This window comes from Homo sapiens, chromosome 17 (assembly GCF_000001405.40).
Source record: "Homo sapiens chromosome 17, GRCh38.p14 Primary Assembly".
NCBI classification, from domain to species: domain Eukaryota; kingdom Metazoa; phylum Chordata; class Mammalia; order Primates; family Hominidae; genus Homo; species Homo sapiens.
Window position 1 is genome coordinate 14,078,062 of NC_000017.11, and position 23,327 is coordinate 14,101,388.

General features: G+C 38.0%; 1 protein-coding gene across 1 annotated transcript in view; it reads left to right on the forward strand.

The window, feature by feature from the left end:
- COX10 (cytochrome c oxidase assembly factor heme A:farnesyltransferase COX10) overlaps positions 1-23,327 on the forward strand; it is a 139,174-nt gene that overhangs the window by 8,558 nt on the left and 107,289 nt on the right. The gene's annotated exons all lie outside the window — the stretch shown is intronic.

Here is a 23,327-nt window from a genome sequence, read left to right on the forward strand (position 1 = left end):
CTTTGGTGAAGGAGCTAAAAAGTCTTAGTAAGACTTGTGTAATGTAACTCTAAAACAGTGAGATGAATTCTGTGTGATAAGCTTGAAAACATGTCTCAGTGGTTTATGGTCACTAAGCAACGAATCAGCATGTTTCTAAAGAAACTCTCTTTTGTCATTTACACAAGTGGCCTGAGTGTCATGCTGCTGACAAGTTAAGAATGACTATAGATAAGTTATGCTTATAATGCTGCCACCCCAAAAATGAGGCCTCTCAGCCCGTAGGCATCAGATGTGGCCTCTGTCAACAGCAGGAGCTTCATGTGTGCCATCACTTAGCACATCCACCCTGCAGATTAGCTCTCGTCTCTTGTTGTCCCATTTCTGTCAGTTACAGCATTCTTCGCTTCCTTCAGAGGAGAAACCTTAGAACCAGTCTTCTTCACTTTTTGCTCTCCGCTCTCCCCTTCATCTTGAGTCTAATTTCTGTCACCAGCAGAATCTTTTGTAAGCCCTGTGACATTTGCTTTCCCATCCTCATTTCTGAAGCTGCCATCCTAGTTTACATTGGAAACACGGGAGGCTGTTGGTTTTTGCAGCAGCTTCTAACTGTTCTTTCTTTTGTCCTCCGCCCCGCTTACCCTGCCGTTCATGCTGCCCAGCGTTGCCAAACTAACTTACCCAAAATATTGCTTTCGATTTTCCTAACTTATACGAGTCTATAGTTTCTCCATATTAGCTTCTGTCTCAACCCTGCTTAGTGTTAAAGGAACACTGTAACCTGGAATGATCAAACTGTTCCTCAGAATCAACCTTTTTTCCCTTTCCCTGTCCCTCCACCCTACCATTGAGGCCAGTCCTTTCACCCCACCATATTTGTTCCCCCGCCTCCATGGGAAACTGGTCTGCCTGTCTTATATCCAGTCAGATCCTTTCAAGGCCTCTGTTAATCCTGCTCTTGGCCCCAGTCTCCCTTTTCAAAACTTGGAATATGGCTTTGAAGTCAAGCACACTTGAGTTCAGATCTTGGCTCTGACATTTACTAGCCAGTGAGACTTTGGGCAGTTCCTTAACTTTATTGAGATGATATCCACATCTATAAAGTAGGAATAATAATAGATCATTTAAGAATTAAATAATTAATGCATATAAAGCATACAACAGCATGCTGGACACATGGGAGACACTGCAAGTTTCCAAATAAGTATAGGTGAACATTTGATTGTCTGCTTAATGTGTATTATATTTCCCCTAAGGTTGTTTTTGCCTGTGGAGGGACTTGAAGTGAATGAATATTTACTCGGCAGGGAAGATGAGAAGGAGAATTTTAAGTAGAGGGAAGAGTCTTTGCAAAAGCAAAGGAGTCTCAGTTATCCTGGCACATTCAAAAAGCTGCACTGGGACTATGAGTAGCAATAGTATGACCTGAGTATCATATAGGAGAGGTGCTTATTAAGATCGAAGAGTTAGGCAGTGGTCATGTTGTCATATTGGCATGTATATCAGGCTAAAGTGTTAGATCATAGCCATGGAAAGTTCTGGAAGCTTCTTTGGAGGGATATGATCACTTTGTGTTTTGTCTTATTTACCTTTTACGTATTTTAAAATTTCCATTAAATTAGTATAGGCTTATTATAAAAAAGAATTCAAATAATACAGAAGCATATATTTTAAACTAAGAAAGTATCCTTTCCCACCATTCTAGATAAAAACCCCTGTGTGAAATGTCGCCTTCTCTATATAGACACATATGCAGATAGAGCTATGGTTGTACATTTTCTTCAAAAGAAATAGGATCATTTTATATATATATATATATGTATGTATGTATGTATGTATACACACACACACAGTTTTGCAACATGCCATTTTCTTATGACAGTATAGTTTTCACTGACAATATTCACTGCATACTATTCCATTGTATGGATCTGCCATTATTAACTAGTCTTCTGCAGGTAAACATTTGTGATATTTCCAGATTTTTTACTATTAAAAGCAACTCTGTTACTTTTACGTATACGTCTTTGTACTCACGTGAGTCTGCCTTTAGGATCAGTACTTAGAAATGTAATAGCTAGCTTTAAACATTTAAATCTTTGATGAAACAACAAATTTGTTTCTAAAAAGATAGTATAATTTACCCTTCCCCTCAACAGCATTTGGGAATTAGACTTTCTTTTTTTTTTTTTTTTTTTTTTGAGACGGAGTCTTGCTCTGTCACCCAGGCTGGAGTCCAGTGGCGAGATCTCAGCTCACTGCAAGCTCCGCCTCCCGGGTTCACATCATTCTCCTTCCTTGTAGCTGGGACCACAGGCACCTGCCACCACGCCTGGCTAATTTTTTGTATTTTTAGTAGAGACGGGGTTTCACCATGTTAGCCAGGATGGTCTCAATCTCCTGACCTCGTGATCCACCCGCCTCGGCCTCCCAAAGTGCTGGGATTACAGGCGTGAGCCACCGCACCCGGCCAGCATTTGGGAATTAGACTTTCTCTGTAGAGTCCACTCCTGCATAAGCAGTCTTTACCAGTTTCGCCAATTTGATCATTGAAAAAGGTTTTGTATGCGTTTTCATTATTTACATTTTGGTAAGGTTTAGCATCTTTTTTCTATTTTGATCATTTGTGGTTTTTCTTCTGTTATTTAGCTCTTATATTCTTGGTCATTCCTTATTGACTTTTTAGAATTCTTTGTAAATAAATTAGCATTTTATACATCATATTCATTACAAATATTTTTTCTCATTTTGTCCTTTTCTTTTTTTATGGTATTTTGTTGTTTTGTTTTGTTTTATTTTGCCCCATGGAGATTTTTGACTTTTATGTATTTGTTTTTTTCATGCCTAGAAAGGTTTCATCACCCTGTGGTTACAAAAACATTCACTCATGTTTTCCTCTGATGCTTTTATGTTTTTGCATATTCTCTAATGCTTTGAAGCCATCTGGATTATATTTCAGTGGAAGGAATAGGCTTGATTAAGAAAACTGCTGTGGTAGTACTATAGAGCAAGGATCACCTGTTTTTGTAAATGAAGTTTTATTGGAACACAACCACGCCCACTTGTTCTGAGCATATATCATGCCGCAGTGACAGAGTTAATTGCAACAGAAACCTTGTGGCCTGGGAAGCCTGAAATGCTTACTGTCTGGCGTTTACAGAAAAAGTTTGCTGACCTTCTGTCGGAGAGCACAGACTAGTGAGAGCCAAGAATGATGGCAGACAAATAGTGGTGGTCAACTGAGAAACGACTTGGGCCTGAACTGAGGCTGTGGTGGGGAAAGAGAACAAGGGAGAGAGAGAGAAAGAGAGATAGATAGAGAGAAACATTAAGGAAATCGAATGAGTAGGACCTTAGCTAGATGAAGTGGATTGCTAAGGAGACATAAAATAAGAGCTGAGAGCGCGGAGCTGCAGAGAGTTTGAATACCTTGAGGTGAAGCAGGTATTTTCCAGCTCTGTGGGCCCTTTTGTCATTTATTATTCTAGGCTCTATCCTGTTCTGTGAGAGTCAGATTCTAAAGTCAGATTCCCTGCATTCAAATCCTGGCTTTGGCTAGCTGACTGACCTTGTGCAAGTTTTATAATCTCACCGGCCTCAGTTTACCCATCTGTAAACTAGGGATAATAATAGTACTTCCTTCATAGGGTTGTTCTGAGTAATAGGTGAGTTAACATTTGCAAATGACATACAAGTGCCTAGTACATGTCAAAAACTATACACATATTTCTTAAAAAATAAATTTAATACCTGGCTGCCCCCACTGGCATTTGGATTTGCTGCCCCTGCTCTAGACACAATTACGGGCTTCTGGAATGAAAAACTAGATGAATGGTGGTGTTGAGACTTAAGAGTGTAAATATGGAAGAAAGAAAAGGTTTAAAGAAAACATGATGAGTTCAATTTTGGATAAGTGGAATTTGAGTTGCTACTGGCATATCCAGGTGGAGAGACCCAGTGGGGCAGGGGGCTGTGAAAGGCAAGAGCTCAGAGAGAATGTTAGGCTGGAAGAACCAGGGGTCTTCAGCATGGAGCTGGCAGTGAGGTCACGGTAGTAAATGATGTTACCAAGGATCAGTGTGTACAGTGACCATGCTGATGGTCACCAGAACTTTGGGGTATATCACCTTTTAAGGATTGGGTAAGGTATATAATGGACCCGGCAAGGAAATAAATGGTCAGAGGGAGGAAGACCGGAAAAGACCCTGTCACAGAAGCCAAAAGAATAGAACCTGTTCATAAAGGGAAGTGATCTGGGCCGGATGTCAAATGCTGGAGGTCTCCTGAGAAGCCTGGCTCGTGAGAGTCATTTTATTTGCCAGTTAGGAAGTCAGTGTTGACTGGTTGCTAAATCAGGGAATAGTGATTGCTGTGTCTTCTTAGACTCTTAAATGAGCTGCTTTAAATAATCTATTTTAAAATAATTTTAAGTTTATTATAATGCTTGTTTCATTAGGAACACAGGAAAATAGGATAACTAGTTTAAGATGAACTTTTTTCTTGGCCACATCTTCCATTCCTTCATACTGGCTATTGTTGTATTATTTCTCCCTTTATGTAGCTTATATGGTTATATATCTGAATTGTCATTCCAGATGCAGGGTTTGATATCTAAAACATAGTATCTGAAATCTCAAGAAATTAATTAATTAATTATTTAATAGTGCATACTGTGATGTATAGTGTACATGAACTCATTGGCTTCCAAATGTCAGCATGGTAATGTGCCGTCATGGTGTGCTTGTTAAAACAGTGATTCCTGGCCACTGTTTCCAGTGATTCAGTTCCCCTAGGGCTGGGACAGGACTCAGAGATCTGCATGTTTGATGAGGACACCAGATGATTCTGATGCAGGTGGTCCTAGACCACACTTCGAGAAAGCAAAGTAGGTGTTAGGTAGGCAGCGAGTACTAGTCCCAGACCGAGTGGTCTGACTGGATGTGGAGAGAACTCACCTAGTGAGAGCCAGCGGAGCCGGTCACTACCACTGGCAGCAGGAAAAGCCGACTGGGCAAAATCTGGACCACAGAAGAGAGGCATGCAAAGCAAGACGGATGCACCACAGAAAAGGGGAGCAGCCTCACCTACACACACAGATGGAAAGGTCCCAGGGCAGTAAATTTCCCTTGTATTATTTTATATATTCCACGCCCCAGGTTTCTGGATGAACTAATTGAATTAAAGTCCTTTCCTTCTGCTTATTCCATTTAAAGAAGCAGCACCCTTTGGGTGACCCCTACCCTTTTATCTGACCTTTTACCTCTCTATTTAGTTTATTACTTGAAGTCACATGTGTTTTGGAGTCAGCAGGATTTTTTATTTAAGAAAATACCTGATATCTGTCCATTGATTTCTTTTGGACTCTTAACATCTCACACGATTCATTTATAGCTAATGATAGCCGAGGCAGAAATATCTGGGAGTCAGTGATCACTTTCATAGAACTAGCCTTTCTTTCTTTCCCTCCTTTTGTTTATAGCTGTAATATACGGAGGATAATTAACTGTGGAATAAGTGAAGGGCCAGATAGTGCTCATACTTATATTTCATCTGTGGGTTAGTGGGTAGCAGCAGCCTGATGCCTTGGCATTTAGGCCAGGATATGAGCCAAACGTTTGCTGGTGCTAATGCCATTTAAAGATTTTTATTTTTTTAAATGAAGGGAAGTAAGACTGAGATTATAAAAAAGGAATAATGTGTCTCCCTTGAGTTTCTCTTGCCAACTGAGCTATTTACAATATGTTTTTGGAGTTTGTTGCATGGACCACACTGGGGTAAAGAAATTTTATTTGGATTAGGATCATAAGAGGCTTTGGTGACTCAACTGAGTTTATACTTAATATAGGTCAGTAAAAAGCAGAACTTTTTTCCTGAGTAACATCTGTGCTGAAAAGCTGCAACACGTTTTTTGAGACCAGAACACTGAAATAGATTATTTATTGGAACCAATAGATTATGCTGTTGATGGAACTGATATGAAGTATGATCTATCAATGTATAAATTTTTTTCTCCTAGAGCCTAGAATGCTGTTTTTTATTAAAAGAAAAAAGCAGAAATGGAGGATACACGTTCATTTTAGATCACTTGTATAGTTTAAGAAGTCAACTTACTGTAATCTTCAGTTATTAAATATTTGTATTAAGGGGGTTTTAGCATTCACTGAATATGAATTGAGTGAATTACTATGATTTCTTGAATTTTACTTTATTTTTTGAAATAAGTGCCTTGATATATTTACTAAATGTTATAGTATTATTTTTAATTATATGACTAGTAAATATTTATTTTTAGAAAAAATAGAAAATACAGATAAGCAAAAAGAGAAGATTGAAATCCTCCTGTAATTTCACCATCTTAAAATAAAACCATTTTGAATATTTTGATATATTCTCTTCCAGAAATTTTTTCTATGCATCTCATATATTTTTGCTTTATAAAGAAATATACGATCGTAGCGTAAATGCCTTCTGTGACTGAAAAAAATTAATATTCTGCTTATGTCTTTTTGTGTATCAACATGTTTACCCTGTTTTTAGTGACTTTTAAAATTTAAAAGTAATGTTTTCTTAAAACGCAAACACATAATATACAGAAAGTCCCTTCAGGCCATGCAATAACCAGGCTTTTTATTTTTTTTGAGAAAAATTTCGCTCTTGTCACCCAGTCTGGAGTGCAATGGCATGATCTCGGCTCACTGCAACCTCCGCCTCCCGGGTTCAAGCCATTCTCTTGCCTCAGCCTTCTGAGTAGTTGGGATTATAGGTGCCTGCCACCACGCCAGCTAATTTTTGTATTTTTAGTAGAGACGGGGTTTCGCCATGTTGGCCAGGCTGGTCTTGAACTCCTGACCTCAGGTGATCCACCTGCCTCAGCCTCCCAAAGTGCTGGGATTACAGGCGTGAGTCACTGCACCCGGCCAATAACCAGGCTTTTTGCATACAGTTTTTCAGCCTTTATCTGTTCATAGTCTGTGTTTTAATGTTAGCAGTACAGCCTCTGGAGTCAGACTGGCTGGGTTGGAATCCCTGGTCTACAATTTTATTGGCTTTGTGGTTACAGGCATATTTTTTTTCAAGTCTCTAAGCCTTGGTTTACTTGTCTGTAAAATGGGGATAATCCTCCCTGAAAGGATTATTGTGATGATTATAAGCAATAATGTAAGCAAATGATTCACTGCCATATTCAGTAAATGTTCAAGAAAGGTTAGTTATTATTACGTTAGTGCATAGATAGTTTCTATTTTGTTTTATAAAAATGGGGTTATATTACATGTTTTGTTTAGTTATTTGCTTTCTTCCCTAATTGGTATATCTTCCTCATACTTCCTCATCAATACAATTAAATCTACCTTCTTTTTTTAAAGGTTGATAGTATTCCATAGTATAGATATATTTAGTTTATTGAACCATTTCCTTGTTAATGGACATTTAAGTAGTCTCTTACTTCTTGCTATTAAAAATAAAGATTTGTAATATCATTTAACATATATCCTTTTACATATTTTTTTCTCAAAGTTAGCTGTATAGAAGTATACCTTTATTTTTGTTGGGTATATAGCATGCCATTGCGTAGTTATACCATAATTTATTTATTTCTCCTGTTTTAAGTGTTTTTTATTTTATTATCCTTATTATACATAGTACTATAATAAATAAGCTAAATCTATAATGATTTTCTGAGGATAAATGTATAGAAGTGGTCTTGTTAGAGCAACAGGTACGCATGGTTTTAAAGCTTTCAGTTTTCATTAACAGATTCCCCTCAAGAAAAGTTGCACCAATTTGTGCTAGCCACCTCACCATATCTTCACCAATGAATGCTTGATGATAATGTATTCTTCTGAATAACTCTGTCAATTCAATGTGTGAAAGTAGCACTTAAGTTTTTAATTTTGTACTTAATTCTGATGAGGTTTTATATTTGTCATACGCTGAGTGGTGATTTGTATTGCTTTGTTGATGGCATGTTTGCCTCCCAGCCTTCTCTTCTGTGTTTGTCTTTGTTTATTGTTTGTAAGGATTCTTTATATATTCAAGATTTGATCTCATTATATATATCTGTCACAAATGTCTTATGTTGTTTGTGTCTTGTTTTCATTTATCTTTGTTTTCATGTGCAAAAGTTAATTTTATGTAACCAAAGGTATTTTCTTATGAGTTTCTGGTTTTTATACTATGCTTAGACTTTCCCACATGAAGATTTTGTAAATACAGTATTTATCTGCATTGTTAATATTATATTTTTATGATTTTATATTGTATAATAAAATTTATTATTGATAAGAAATGTAGTTTGGTCAGTGGTATAAGATAGAGATATTGCCAGTTTTTAATAAATCATTAACCAGTGTTTGAATGTTCTATTCACAAAGAGTTTGTGAAGCTCTGTGCCTGGAATAAATACCTCAATTCTGCTAATGTTTTAATTGGGATTTCAATGTTTATTCGGGGATGAATTGAGAACTTTACTGTTACATCATCTTCATTTATACAAGTCTTCTTTTACGCCTCTTGAGTTCTATAGTTTTACTTAAATAGATCAGTACATGTATTGATAAGTGATTTTGGAAGTATTTAAAAATTTCTTTTCAGTTGATTATTTCTTGAGTTTTTCAGGAATACATCAAATAATGATTAAGTTTATCTCCTTTTTCATGTTTATGCTAATTATTTCATTTTCTGGTAATTGCCTCTTTGTTTAGTTATTTGCTTTCTTCCCTAATTGGTATATCTTCCTCATACTTCCTCATCAATACAATTAAATCTACCTTCTTTTTTTAGAGATTGATAGTATTCCATAGTATAGATATATAGAGATACTCTTTCTACTAGCTTTCTTCATTATAATTTTCCGCTTCATTCTGAAGGGTCTTCTGAAATGTGTTATGTAGAGTGCTGACTTGATTTTGTTCCATCTATTTATTACATCTCATGACTTTTAACATTCTGCTGTGGCAGTTTTTGTTTCTTGTACTACTTTCCTTAACCTACTTTGTTTCATGGGGTTAGGTTTTTTCTAGAGTGTACAAATTTACTTTTTCTGTTCATTCAGCTGATGTTTGTTGAGCATCTATTATGTTCCAAGTATCCACTTCTGAGTGTTGTGGACAGAATAAGGTGCAGGTGGCTGACAGTCTCTGTCCTCATAGGTCTTACTCTTCAGGAGGAGTTTATAGTCTAGTGGGTCTGTGGTAAATCTTTTTCAAAATATATTCAGCCTCTTATTCTTCCATGCTACTTTTTTTTCTTTTGTACCGTAGAGTCTTTTTTAATGAGTCGCATATTGATTCATTTTACCTCTCTGTATCTTTCTCCCTTCCGGAAAGAAGACAACACTATCCAGACAGTAGTTACACCCCAAATGAATGTAAGCTCCATGGGGTGGGGCATTTTGTCTGTTTGCACTGTTCTGTCTTCTATACCTACAGCAGTGCCTGGCACGTAGTAAGCGCTCATTGTGTATCGGTTGAACGGATGCAGGGTTGGATTTTTATTCATCACCTAACAGTTTCACTTGTTGGAGTTCGCTCGCATTTTAAGTAAGAGGAACCAAGGCTATCAGTTTGCATTTACTGGTTTAGCAGTTCTGTGGCCTGATGGAGGGAAGGAGGGCACAACAAACGAGGGAACTTTTTCTCCGAAAGGTTTTTTTTTTTTTTTTAAACCATGTCTCTGAAACCGCAGGGCCAATGTCCTGTTTCCCAAATCTGGTTTTTAGTGTCGTCTGCTTCTCCTCTCTGCATATGGTATGTCTGTGTCCAGCCTCTTCTCTGGTGCTGTGGCCTGCTGAGTTGGAAGAATACCACAGTGTGCCAAAGTATGGTGGCAATGGGTGGCTTGCTACACTGTGTGAAGCCATCAGAAAAGTGTTCTGCCTTGTCTCAGTGAGAATTATGTCAAGTTGAGGCCCTGCTTTCTCATTTTGGCACGACCCTCTACCCCTTTCAGTCCCTCTAGCTGTGATATAGCTGCCTCTAAGCTCTCCTGCACTGTGGTGACAAAGGGACTTTCTGGGGAGTGGGCTCATCTGGCCATGGCTCACCCTGGCTTCTGTCCTTGCTCCTTACCAGGAAGGAATAATGAGTATGGTTAGAATAGCCTTGATTTCCCATATTTATTTCCCATATTTATCCATTCCTTATTAGTAGCTATTTATGTAGTGTATTTTTTTGCTATTTAAATAATGAATGTAGTGACCCAGTCCTCAGTAACTGTCTTCAGTTTAGTCTCATCTGTGCTATATTTAACAAACGCTTCTTGAGGTTTTTAGTATCCTGTCTTTACCTAATTTATTGCTTCTGCAGATTTTTCTTCAATTTTCATTTTTATTCCATCATTTCAGTTGGTTTCTGTGGGGCTGGGGCTCTACAAATGCTTTAGCCAAAGTTCCAATTTAGACAGAAAAAAAAAAATTTAGCTAGGCTACTCTGTTTTCTTATGATTTATTTGTTAAGATGGGATTTAATTGCCTTAAGTTCAATTTGATTTTAATTGAACTGATTGTAAGTATAAGATGCTATGGTAGATGCCAGGGGAAGGTAAAGATAAATTTTGTAAGAATGATAATCACTCTCAAAATATATTGAGAACTTTAAAGAAGAAAAAAAACTGAGTTGAGAATTGGCTCAACATCACATAAGTGAAAATTTGAAAAACAATGACTTAAACAAGTAAAGGGTTTATAATTTCATGTGTCAAGGATTCTGAGGTTAGGAGTCTGTAGATGGTGCTTAAGGATGTTGCCAACATACCTGGTACCTTCTTTGTCTGTTATCATTAGCTTGTGGTTTTTGTCCTCAGACCATGAGATGACTTCCATACCGTCATCATCATATTGTATTCTGGGCAGAAAGAAGAAATGAGAAGGAAATGTGGAAAGGCAGAAACCTCCTTATAAGACTTTGCCTCTTAATTTGGGAGGGAAAGTTCTTGATAGGAATTTATTATGTCTCATTGGCCAGGAGTGTGCCACGTGGCTACCTCCAGCTGCAAGGGAGGTTTTAAATTATGGCATAATTCTTACATCTATCATTTTAAAAGCCCAAATATCTTAAATTCAGCCTAGTCAACTCTGCCAGTAGCCAACTTCTCTGTCCTGATAGCCCTCACTGGGCTCTCTCATTATTCAGTACATCCCCTTCTTGGAGGAGGACATGAAGCTGCCTGCCTCTTCTCTACCCAGTTTTTCCAAAGAAAAATAAAATACCACTCTTTAGTCTGCTCTGTGACTACCACCACATATGTGTGCTTTAAATGCAGTATATTTAAATGAAGACTGACTTGCCAGCTTGGCATTTACTTTTCCATTAGTGGTTGTGGATGTGTACTGATCTGGCAGCAGTTTCTCCCTGTCATCTTGATAATCAAATACACATTTGGAGACTCCTGGTTTGGGTTGGGTTATATGTAGTCAGTACTGGACTGTCCAACAGAGCTAGCCCAAGTGTACATCTTCATGAAAAAGTGTAGGTGGTTGATGGAACTTCAGCTAAACCAGAAAGCAAACCAGGTGGCAAAGCTGTTAGTGAACGTTGAAGAAGTTGAAGAACACCGTAAGCTTTCCTCTCTCTCACTTCTTGTTGCATTCCAACAGTTGTTGAAGGCTTTGCCTTCTTGCTCAGTTTTCTTCTTTATCCAAGATTCTACCATCAACCTAGAAAACTTCACTATTTCTAGGAGTTCTCAAACTTCATATGCCTTCTGAGATGCTTGTTATAATGCAAATGTGTAGCCATCACCTCCATAAATTCCTTCACTCTGGGTCTGGGGTAGGGTCTAGAATTGTGTATTTTAATGGTCCCCATAGCATACTTTGAGACACACTCTTCTAATCTGTAGAACCGATTCAACACTCTCTCCTAGCTCTTTACTGTCAGCACACTGCCTTGCTTCCCATTACTCACAAGAATATGTTTATTTCCCATTAAGGGAGACCTCTGCAACTTACAGCTAACCTAGTCTATCTGAATTCTTACCTTTTTTTGCTTCTTCTCTCCTCTGCCTGTTCTCCCGCTTGTCCCCTTCAGTGGGTGGCACTTTCAGCCTGACACCTGGGGTCCTCTTAGATTCTGCAAGTCCAAGCAGATCTCCCTCTATCTACTATGTGGAGAGAATGTTATCTGAATCACTCGAGGGAAGCAAATGATTGCCTCTCAACCTGCAGGTCAGACTTGCCTGGGTGCTTAATAATCATTTTGGGTTTTATGAAGGGCTTGGTTTTTACTTCAAAGCAAAGCATTGTAGCATCTTATTTATTAAGATTAAGGAATGAAACACTTAAGATAAATGAATTTTAAAAGAATGTTACAAGATTGTCTCTTATACTAAGAAAGTTTTTGCTTAACTGTTTATTTTGGAAAACCTTTCCAAAATGTATATAAAGTTTTAAATTTACTAGTAGCTTTAAAAAATATATTAAATAAGAAGGAAGAATAGTAAACTTGACAATTAAGAATGAAAAGAAGAATGCTGCATGTCAGTGAGCTTTTACAAGGATGCAGAGATGCATTTTTGTTCATAGTTACTCTGAGATATTTTATCTGTAGATGGAGAGTGACTACTTGGAGCATTCTCTCAGCCTGTGGATTTTGTGCTTTCTGTTCTCTCTGTCTCAAACATGTATACCTCACCATCTTACGTGTTTGCCAGGTTAACTCCTTTTTATCCTTCAGTCTTCAACTTTGACATCACTTTTGGGAAGTCTTCTGGGTTTGGAGGTCCTTCTATGTTCAGAGTTCCTCACCTGCTGAATCACTGTTACCTTGTGTAATAATTAATGCCTGTTCACTTTTCTGAATCTTTATCAGAGTGAAAGCCCCAAGAGGGCCGGGAACACATCTGTCTTGTTGACTATTACATTTCCATTGCCCAGCGCGGTGCCTTGCAAATAATAGGTGCTCAAAAAATAGTAGCTCAATGGAGAAAAGAAGTGTAGCGAACTAGCTTGCCACCATTTGTAGAATTTTGAACAGCTTAGCCTTTTAATTACAAATAATTATTTTACTGTACTGTAGTAGTTTAGTGGTTAGTGATGACAGAAAGCATTGTGTCTAAACTGTTAGGCAGCTGTGCATTTATAGTTACTTGGTCTGCTTTTCAGTGTCTCTTTCAACTGCTGTCATTGTGTCTTGAAGTTTTTAGTCTGTTACGCGATTTTGTATTCAGGATAATTGTGGAGGATTGGAGATGGCCCCACTGTGTTTTTCTTAAAGTTCATCAAATTTGTGAAAACTGTACCAGTGGGAGCTCAGAGGGATCTGCAAAGACTTTGCTTTGTCCTGTTATCAGTGAATTGCTATTAGGTTTGACAAACTATTGATTTTCAGTTTTGCTTAAAGGAACAGCAACACCAATAAGGGAAGTCTTTTAGTTGTTGATCATCTCAAAAGTATTTCTAAAAGATTCTTGCTAGAAAGCTCTTTTGAATGCTTAGAATAACATAACCAACATTCTTGCCTAACCAATTAATAGGAATAAATGAAAATTCCCAAAGGAAAAGAAAACAATGATACATTAATATATATGTATGCAGTTAGGTCCAGATGTAAATCATGAGTGAGTAATTGCACAGAAATTGCATCCTGAGTAGGCATTCTAAGGAAGTTGATTCTTCTGCAGTATTTTCGAGATTTAAATAAATGTAAAAGCATTTTACTGATTTGTTATATGTGTTCTGCAAAATAAGCACAGGTAGCTAAACGCTAAATACCATCAAAGTCGGAACGATACTTGAAATGGAGACTTAATTCTTTAAGTGTTTATCTTGTACAATATCTGCTCTCTGGATAAACACAGTTGTAATTTTGATATGAAACTGAGATAAAGCTTTATTTTTGTGAACACTGTCCAACTAACAATTTTTTTGCCAAACTCAGTTTTGAAACTACATGTTTCTGCTTCTTAAAAGTTTCAGTTTTGTTCAACAGTTTATAGGCACCAGTTTTATGGAATTTTTTAAAGTTAATTAAAAAGGTTATAAATTTTTGGTTATTGAGTATATGAAGTAAATTGAGTTTCTTTATTGAGAAGAACAAACTAAAACAGGATGATAAGGTAGAAAAGCTCTTTGGTTCAAGGAAAAGCGATAATTGAAAGAACAAGCTTAGGATCTCACTCAGTGTTACAAAATTAGCTTAATATAACAGCTTTTATTTATGTATTTATCAAGCCCGATAGATACTTCATTTTCCTTTTTCTGAATGCTAATTGTAAATGTCAACCAAATGCTTCCTGGTGAACTGCCTTGGTGACCATACTTAAATGCTTCATTTTGGAATCAGTATTGCTTAGTAAATTTGAAGGTATGAGATTTAATTTGGTCCTAGGACTTTCAGTCTAACTTTCATCATTAATTGTATGAAAAATAAGAAAGGAAAACAGGAAGCCCTAATAAATTCTTACCTTTGTGGCTGTGGTGTTAAAAACCTGTATTAAAAGTCTTATCTTTTAACCAGAAGTGGTTATAGTTTGTAATCAGTTAGGCCCCTGATTGATACCTTTTAATATGGCTGAGAAAAAAATAGCACGTCTCATATCAATTGACTTTTCATCTGAACTTAACAATAAGCATGAGAATTACCACCTTCTCTGATATGTCTCTTGAGAAGACAACTATATTATGTGGTTCACAGAATGCTGCCAAGCTGTGAAGCCTAAAAAACTCACTTAAGTTAGAAATTCAACTATTTGAAGCTTAAGGTGCTAATAAAAAAGAGATGAAAATCATTAAGTACAGCTATTTAGTAAAAAGTACACTCTCATTTAAAAATCAAAAAAGACTTAACTCCTTCCTCTGAATTAAGTTATATAATTTTGACCTTTGAAATCTACTAACAAAAGCTTAACTCCTTCCTCTGAATTAAGTTATACAATTTTGAACTTTGAGATCTGCTAACAAAAGCTTAATTCCATTGCTTGGGCACACACATAAACAAAACCACATACAAATTCATTAACTGCCTACTCTTGGTCAGCTTTCCACGTTAAACAGCTTTAAAGAGATTATATCTCAAGTTTATGGGACTTGGATTACAGTGTTGCATAGTATCTGCTATCAAGGATAATGAGATATAATAGATTACAAGGGTAATTTGAAATCTATAGAAAATCTTAGAGTTTCATTTAGCCAGTGGCTTTAATCTTGCTCCCAGATCTTTTATCAGAATTGATAGTTATCCAACTTGATTTTTTGGACTTTTGTTTTTTCTCTTAGTTCTTTTGTGGCCAGTGCTAAAAAATAGTGAGTCATTAAGACACAGAGAAATAAGAAAAGGAAGATGTAGCTGACCCATTTTTTAACGTAATCTTTACAGTTATTTTTAGTTGATGATTTTAGAAAATTGAGTACAGTCATTATGCTTATGCTTAGAGACCAATACTCCCAAAGTAGTGGGACTTAAAAAAAAACAAATTCTTGATAAAGTTGCTTCTTCAAGAAAACCTCTTGCATATTGGAAAAGCTAAAACATTTCAAGTGGTTCTCTGCTGCCCTGCAAAGTATACTGTGAGGTTAGAACTAGGGGCCTGGCTAAATTTGTACTGCGAGTCCTGTAAAAGCCTCCATTTATGGGTGACAGATAAAGCCCCTTCTGTTGCAGAAGTAACAGCATGCATGGCAGGGCTGCTTCTGCCCACCTCCAGTATGGGACTCCCTCTGTGACTCCTTCCAATTCCCCCTTACAATCTAGAGGAAGAAGCGTCATCATGGATCCTATGCCAGAGATACAGTGTTAAAGCCTGTCTTGCCTGGTTTGTGATTTTGTGATCAGCTAGGTGATTGTGTGTTTGTATGTGCTTCATTCCTTCAGTTAGTGGAATTTTCTTTTTCTGAAAATGAGTCTTTGTAGTACTTACTAAAGAATATTCTGGCTGGGCATGGTGGCCCATGCCTGTAATCCCAGTGCTTTGGGAAGCAGAGTCAGAGGTGGAGGAATCACTTGAGGCCAGGAGTTGAAGGCTGCTGTGAGCTCTGATTGTGCCACTGCACTGCAGCCTGGGTGACAGAGCAAAACCCTGCCTCTGAAAAAAAGGGAGAGCCAAATATTAGACATAAACCATATGATTCTCTTGATTAGACCCTGGTAGATTTTACTACCAGTAATTTGCACATGGTTGTCCATATAGAAAATCAGACATTAGTACCTACAATTGCTTGCTTTGCTTTTTATTTTAGAGCCAGTTTCTCCAGTTTATTAGTCCTGTACTTTATCAGTAAAAAGAACTTTAAGTGTACTTATGTATATTTATAATATTTATGCTATTATATATAAATATATATAAATGGATAGTTACATATAAATAAAATTCATGTATTCTTACACTGATATATTCATTTTAAGATATGCAAAATGTGGGTTTAAAAAGAAAGGGTTAAAAAATTAAACATAAGTGAAAGTTCTCCTGTTTTCTTACCATGTCCCTGTGGTATCCACACCTTTCTTTGAAATGCAGTATTTTTGAGATTTTAATAAATGTAAAAGCATTTTGGCACACTGAAGTGCTTTGCAAATGTAAGTTTTGTTTTTATCATTATTATTTTTAGTCTACATTTATTAAAGGGTTGCTATCTGTTCACTCCCCTGGAGGAGACAGAGAGATAACTTAGATTATAGTACAGAAGCATACAGAGTGTGGTGTGAAGTGTTTTGTTGTTTCTCTAAATTCTTTTAGCACTGCTTTGAAATGTAAAGTCCAAGTGCAGTGACCAGAGAAATATTTCACCTATAATTTTATGAACCACATTTAAATAATTTCCAAGAGCACTGCTTATTAAGCCCTTATTATTTACCAGACACTGTGCTCAGTGCATTTGATATAGTCAGAAACTGTTGTGTCTGTAGAAGGTGCCCTTGGCACGGACAGGAGCCTGGAAGTCAAGTATAGTTGGTTACTAGCGACATTTAGCTTGGAGGGACAGAAACTGTAGGAATAGTGGGATTTGCATAATTGAAGGGTTGTGCTAAGAAAAAAAAAAGTTAATTCACTGCTGCTCCAGAACACAGAAATTGCATCTTAAGTAAGTATTTCACGGAAGTTGATTCTGACTTAATTGGAGAAGGAACTGTCGAACAGCTAGAGCTCTTCTGTAGCAGAAGGGGTTGCCCAAGGAGAAATAATTTCCTGTCACCAGATTTGGAGAGACTATACACTGAGATGTTGGAGAAAGGATTTACATTAGGAGAGAAATTAGACTAGTTGACCCTAAATCCTCTTTGACCTTTTTGGATTTGATTATTTGAAGTACTGAATTATGTTTAGCTCCTTTGTAGTAGCTGCTTAAAAGTAATGAAGCCCTTTGTCACCACCTTCAAAATACTTACAGCGAACTCTGTTTGCACTGTTGCCATCCTACCCAGGCCCTCATCGCCTCCCACCTAGCGCCCTGCAGTAACCTTTAAGTGGTTCCCTGAGTAAATTTTCCTCCACTCCAATCAGTCCTCTGTGTTGCTGGTAGACTAGTCCTTTTTAAATGTTACCCTCATTACAGTACATATTAATTTTCTATTGCAGTGAAGCACATTACCACAAATTTAGCAGCTTAAAGCAACACAAAGTTATTGTTTCACTGTTTCAACAGGTAGAAGTCCAGGCATGATGTGTCTAGACACCCTGCTCAGGGTCTAACCGGGCTGAATTCAAGGTGTTGGTTGAGACTGTTCTCATCTGGGGCTTAGGGTCTTCTTCCGGGCTCACTGGTTGTTGGTAGAATTCATTTCTTTGCAACTCTAGGACTGAAGTCCCTGTATTCCTTCTAGCTGCCAGCATGGCTTGCTCTTAGCTCCTGGAAGCAGCCTGTAGTGCTTGCTTTGCCCTTGTAAGTACATGGCCCTCATAAGCAGTTCTCATTGTGGAGGTTTGCTTTCTTCTCACCCAGTCAAGGATGTTTCAGTCTGTTTTCTTTTGCTTATGGAACTAGGTAATTTATAAAGAAAAGGCATTTATTTCTTACAGTTATGGAGTCTGAGAAGTCCAAGGTCCAGGGCCGCCTCTGGTGAGGGTCTTCTTGACAGTGAGGACTCTGTAGAGTCCCAGGCAGCACAAGGCATGGCATGGTGAGAAGGTTGAGTGTGCTAGCCCAGGTCTGTCTTCCTCTTCTTATAAAGCCACCAGTCCCACTCCTATGATAGTCTATTAACCCATTAATACATTAATCCATTCATGAGGGCTGGGCCACCATGACCCAGTCACCTCTTATAGGCCCAACTTCTTAGTACTGCCACATTGGGGATTAAGTTTCAACATGAATTTCTGAGGGGACCAACTTTCAGACCATAGCCCAGGGCATATCTCATTGTGATTGTTTCAAAATTTTTAAATGTAGGTGTGTTTTTTTTTTTTTCTTTTTTTTTTTTTTTTGAGCTGGCCTTGCTCTGTTGCCCAGGCTGGAGTGCAGTGGCACCATCATAGCTCACTGCAGCCTTGAACTCCCATGCTCAAGTCATCCTCCCACCTCAGTCTCTCAAGTAGCTATGACTAAAGGCACATGCCACTGAGCTGGGCTAATTTAGTTTTTGTAGAACAGGGTCTCACTTTGTTGTCCAGGCTGGTCTTGAACTCCTGACTTCAACGGATCCTCCCACCTCAGCCTCCCAAAGTGTTGGGATTACTGGCATGTGCCATGGCATCTGGCAAAAAAATTTTTTTGTTTTGTTTTGTTTTGTTTTTTAAATTGTGGGAAACATAGTGGGAACTTATTCCTGGAGAAGGCAGAGGCAGATAAGAGAACATCTGGAGCAAATGAATCCTGGACAACAGATTGGACCTAGTAGTCAGGACCATCTTTAGTGAGGGCTGCTACTGGATCTCTTTTCATGGAGAAGCTTGAGGTTCTCTACCTGGCTTTCCACCCAGGAGTGGGGATGAGTCAAGCTCTGTTGGTTTGGGAATATTACTCTCCCATGGGCTCCCAGAGTCATTCCTGGGCCTGCAGTGCAGTGCCTCTGGGCCCATATTAGATGGGTCATGCTTCATTGGCAACATTGATTTTATGTTTATTTGTGAAAGGGCAGAATACGAGATTACCAAATAAAATATAATTTCAGGTATTATTAATGAGGGAATAGATTGCATTCACTTTTAATGAGATTTTGCTGTTACAAAATGATTCCATGTAATGAACCCCAGGAAATCAATGGAAAGTTTAATTACAGCTATGGCAGTGTTGTATGAGAAAATCGCTTTGGTCAATTTTACTCGTACAATTTATCCGTCCTCACTGCCTTTTTCAAATTAATTGCTTTGATGAAATAAGTATAAATACATTCTTTGTTAGCTTTTGGGTTTTTTTTTTTAGAAATGTGTTACAAAATTCAAATTTCCTTCTCTCTAGTAATAGTTGTTATTATTTTTACATGTATTACCATTTACAATTTGTACATTTTAAAATTAGGTAGTATTTCCATTTTGTAAATTTCATCATTATTATGTCTTACTATAAAACACCGTTCTTGTCCCTTTGTTAGCTTTTTATAAATCACTTTTTGTCTCTTCTCAATTTATCAGTAGATTCAGTCAAACATTTGATGTACTTTCTCTGTGCTTCATCACCCCATCAAGCTCTGGGGTGAATAAAAAGAATAACAAGATACTTCCTCCTCTGATTAACAGTTTTCCTGTCATGTAACTACATACCCTTTTCAATTTTAAACAAAATGAACTTTCTTTTTAGAACATTTCTATTATTGACAGTTCAGTGATTATGGGGCTTTCTTGTCCACTGGGATGGTAAATGACTTAAAAAAATTTGTTAAGCACAATACAAAATGTGGATCTGGATATTTAGAGATATTTAAAGTATAATACATCGTCCCTTGGAGTATCCCTGGGGGATTGGCTCTAGTATCCCATCTCTAGTTTACTTATGACACCTAATGCAATGTAAATGCTATGTAAATAATTGTCGTACTGTATTGTTTACAGAATAATGACAGGAAAAAAAAAGTCTGTACATACTCATTATAGATGTAACTATTTTCTTTCCACATATTTTTGATCCAAGGTTGATTGAATCCACAGATGTGGAACCTATGGATACAGAAGTCTTCTATTTTTGTGACTCTAGATTTTACTAACTGTTTATCGAGAATGTTATAGTAGATTTTCTTTTAACTATTACAGTTGTTTATGAGTAGTAAACAACGCTACGTTTGTGTTCAAGGCCTTAAAATATAGTCAGATTATTTTGGCTGATTTACTCTATGGAGAGAAGCAGTTTACTTAGTTTGATTTTAAGAGAGAAACCTCTGCAGTCTCCTTTTCCCTCAAATTCTCCCATTGATACTATCAGCCTTTCTTCTGCATGGTAGAATTCTGATACAAAAGAGAGGCAGCCTGGATGTTAAGGATTTTTCTTCTAGTCCTGGTTGTCACTGACGCAATATGTGAAGAGTCGCCTAACCAGTCTGGAGAGCTCTTGAGTCTTGCAAAAAAAATGGCTCTTGTTCTTTAACACTGGCCTGTCCAGGAGGTTTTGCAATTTATGGTGTGATATCTACAAAGAACGAAAAAGCTTCCTCAAAGATGGGTGCTATTTGAGTATTCTAAATGGAGCTTTGTTGTTTGCTTTAAAAATAGTGCCTTTCTTGATGGTCTTTAAATGTGTGCAGGTAAAACTAAATGGCCTATGACAGGAGAGACTGTTCGTTCCCCATTGGCACAAGGGTAAAATATACCTGCGACTACTGTTTTCAGAGTCAGTAATCACCATGGCATTTTCCTTTGGGCATAAGTTGTTAACAGAATTAGATAGCTAAAACTTTTTCCAGAATGTTTACTTTGAAATTGAGTATTCTACCTTTGATTGCTGCCCTCTGCTCCATGTGATTCTTTGCTGCTGTTAGGTACCTTGTGTGTACTTGTTGTGTTATGACTTGTAGTAGCATATATGGGCCAGAACAGGCTGTACCCCTAAGCAGAGGAGATGTGAGAGGGGACAACACATGCTTTCTGGCCTAGACTCCCCACCTCAGCCATGCTACCTTTCTCCTGAATGTGTGTGTCTTCATGACTTCTGATTAGCCTCTCGTTTGCCTTCAGCTCCTAATCTGCTCATCTTCCTGTAATCTTTATCCGAACCTGCACCCTCATTCCTGAACCTTGCTCTCTACTTATATCTGTGCATGTCTCTCGTTTCTGGAGGTAAATCTTCCCCCAGGAGATTCAGATGCACACCATATTTGGGAACAACTGAGTTAAAGGAAGGACCCCTTGCCAAAATACTTGTGCTCTAGGTACTTTGAGTTGAGATAGTTATACTTAAGGCACCTTACGAACTACCATCGAACCCAGCCATAGTATTCATTTGATTTAGCAATATCAAGAAATCCGTGACCCATCTAGATATTAGGGAAGGGGCTTGTTCATATGGTACAACTATAAAGGATTATTGTAAGTTGCTGATAAGACTAGATTGAAGAACATACCAGCCAATTCATGATTATTAGGAGGAACTACCAGTTTCTCCAGCATGTACCTCCTGATGCCAATAGTGGTGCCTTCCTGTTCTGCTTGCTGTAGCCCCCCTCATGGTTACTGGACACCCATGCCACCTTATTGTCTTGATGCATGTCCCCAAATATTCTTTGTGTCTTTCATTCTTTTCCTTCCCCCCATCTGTAAAGGTCTGACTTTTTCACATACTTCTCTGCATCATGCATGCTGCCCCTTGATCTCATGCATTCCCTCAGGCTCAGGCATGGCCTCTAGGCAACTCCAGAGCTTCATGCCTCTCCAGTCTCTCAAGTCTCCCTCCTGAGCTTTAGTTTCATATTTCGTCTGCGTTCTTTATATTTCTACCTGGATGTCCCACGGTTTCTCAAAACAGCACATGTTCCTAAGGCCAGCTAGCTTCATCACCTCTTTCCCTAATGTCCTTACTTCTGTTAATGTTATCATTCCTTTCCATGTCACCCAAGTGCATGGTAAATGGTAAAGTGCACTTTTCCATTCATTCTTTTTTGTTGTTTTATCTTCCTACCTCTCCCAGTTACCAGGTCCTAACAATTCTCTAATCAAAATATCCCATTTTTACAACCCTTATTCACAATGAATTAATGGCATGGCCTCTTAACATGTTTCTCTGGAAAACTCTCTGCCTCTCTTAAGTCACAGTGCACAGATACTTCCACTTATAGATTGCCTTCTTGCATTAGACTTTCAGTGACTCTGCACTGCCAACCAACCAAACTACAAACTCCTCAGCTTGCTATTCTGCAGTCTGACATTTGCCACCTTTCCTCCTGTTTTTCCAGTAAATACTGCTCTATGCCTAGCTCAGTGATAGCCCCCCCAAATACAGCAGTGAACTACACAGACAGGGGTCCTACCTTCATGGAGCTTATATTCCAGTGAGGAGTCAGAGTGTAGTAAGTGTCATGAAGGAAATAAAAGGAGGATGTGAGCGAGGGAGTAACTGGGGAGACTTACGTTAGATGAGGTCATCAGGAAGGTTCCCCTTAACAAGTAGTATTTCCAATGGGATCTGAAGGATGAGAAGGAGCCAGCTGTGGAAAGAGGCAAATGAAACAAAAGTACAAGAACCCAGGGACAAGAAAGAGCTTGGAATGCTCAAAGAATAGAAGAAGTCTCATGAATGGATAATAGTGATTGAGCTAAAGAGAAGTGTGAGATGCACTTACTGGCAGAGAAAGAGTTTACATTTTATATCAGGTATAGCATCAAAGAATTTTCAATGTTCAAAGCAGCGATGTGATTTGATCTGTTTTCATTTTAAAAACATCACTCTGAAGAGAAGCAAGATGGAAGCAAGGAGACCAGTTAGGGGGTAAAGCTCTTATGGCAATTGCTTGGACTATGTTAGGGTTTCTCAAGCTCAGCACTACTGGCATTTTAGGCTAGAAAATTATTTGTTGTTGGGGGGTGTCCTATGCACCATAAGATGTTAAGAAGCATCCTCAGCCTTTATCCACTAGAAGACAAGTAGCACCCTCCCCTGCAATCAAAAGTGTTTCCAGACAATGCTAAATGTCCCCTGGGGGGCAAAACTACCCCTGGTTAAGAACTGCTGGACTAAATGCTGGCAGTGTGATGGGTTTGAAACATAGTGTAGAGATAGAACAGACACTACTTTGCAATGAACGGGATATAGCGAGTGACAAAGGAGATAATCAAATATGCTTCCTAGGTTTTTGGTTGAAGAATCTAGGTAGATGGTATCATGCATACTTTGGATTCTTGACATAGGTCTTCCCTTCCCTTGTGCCTGTTCTTGGAATTATCCATGTACCTGTAATGTTGCTCACCCTACCATTCTCTTCCTTTCTCTTCATCCTCTCTAGAAAATCCAACTTAAATGTCATCTTCTTGAAGCTTTCCCAGATTTGCCCACCAAT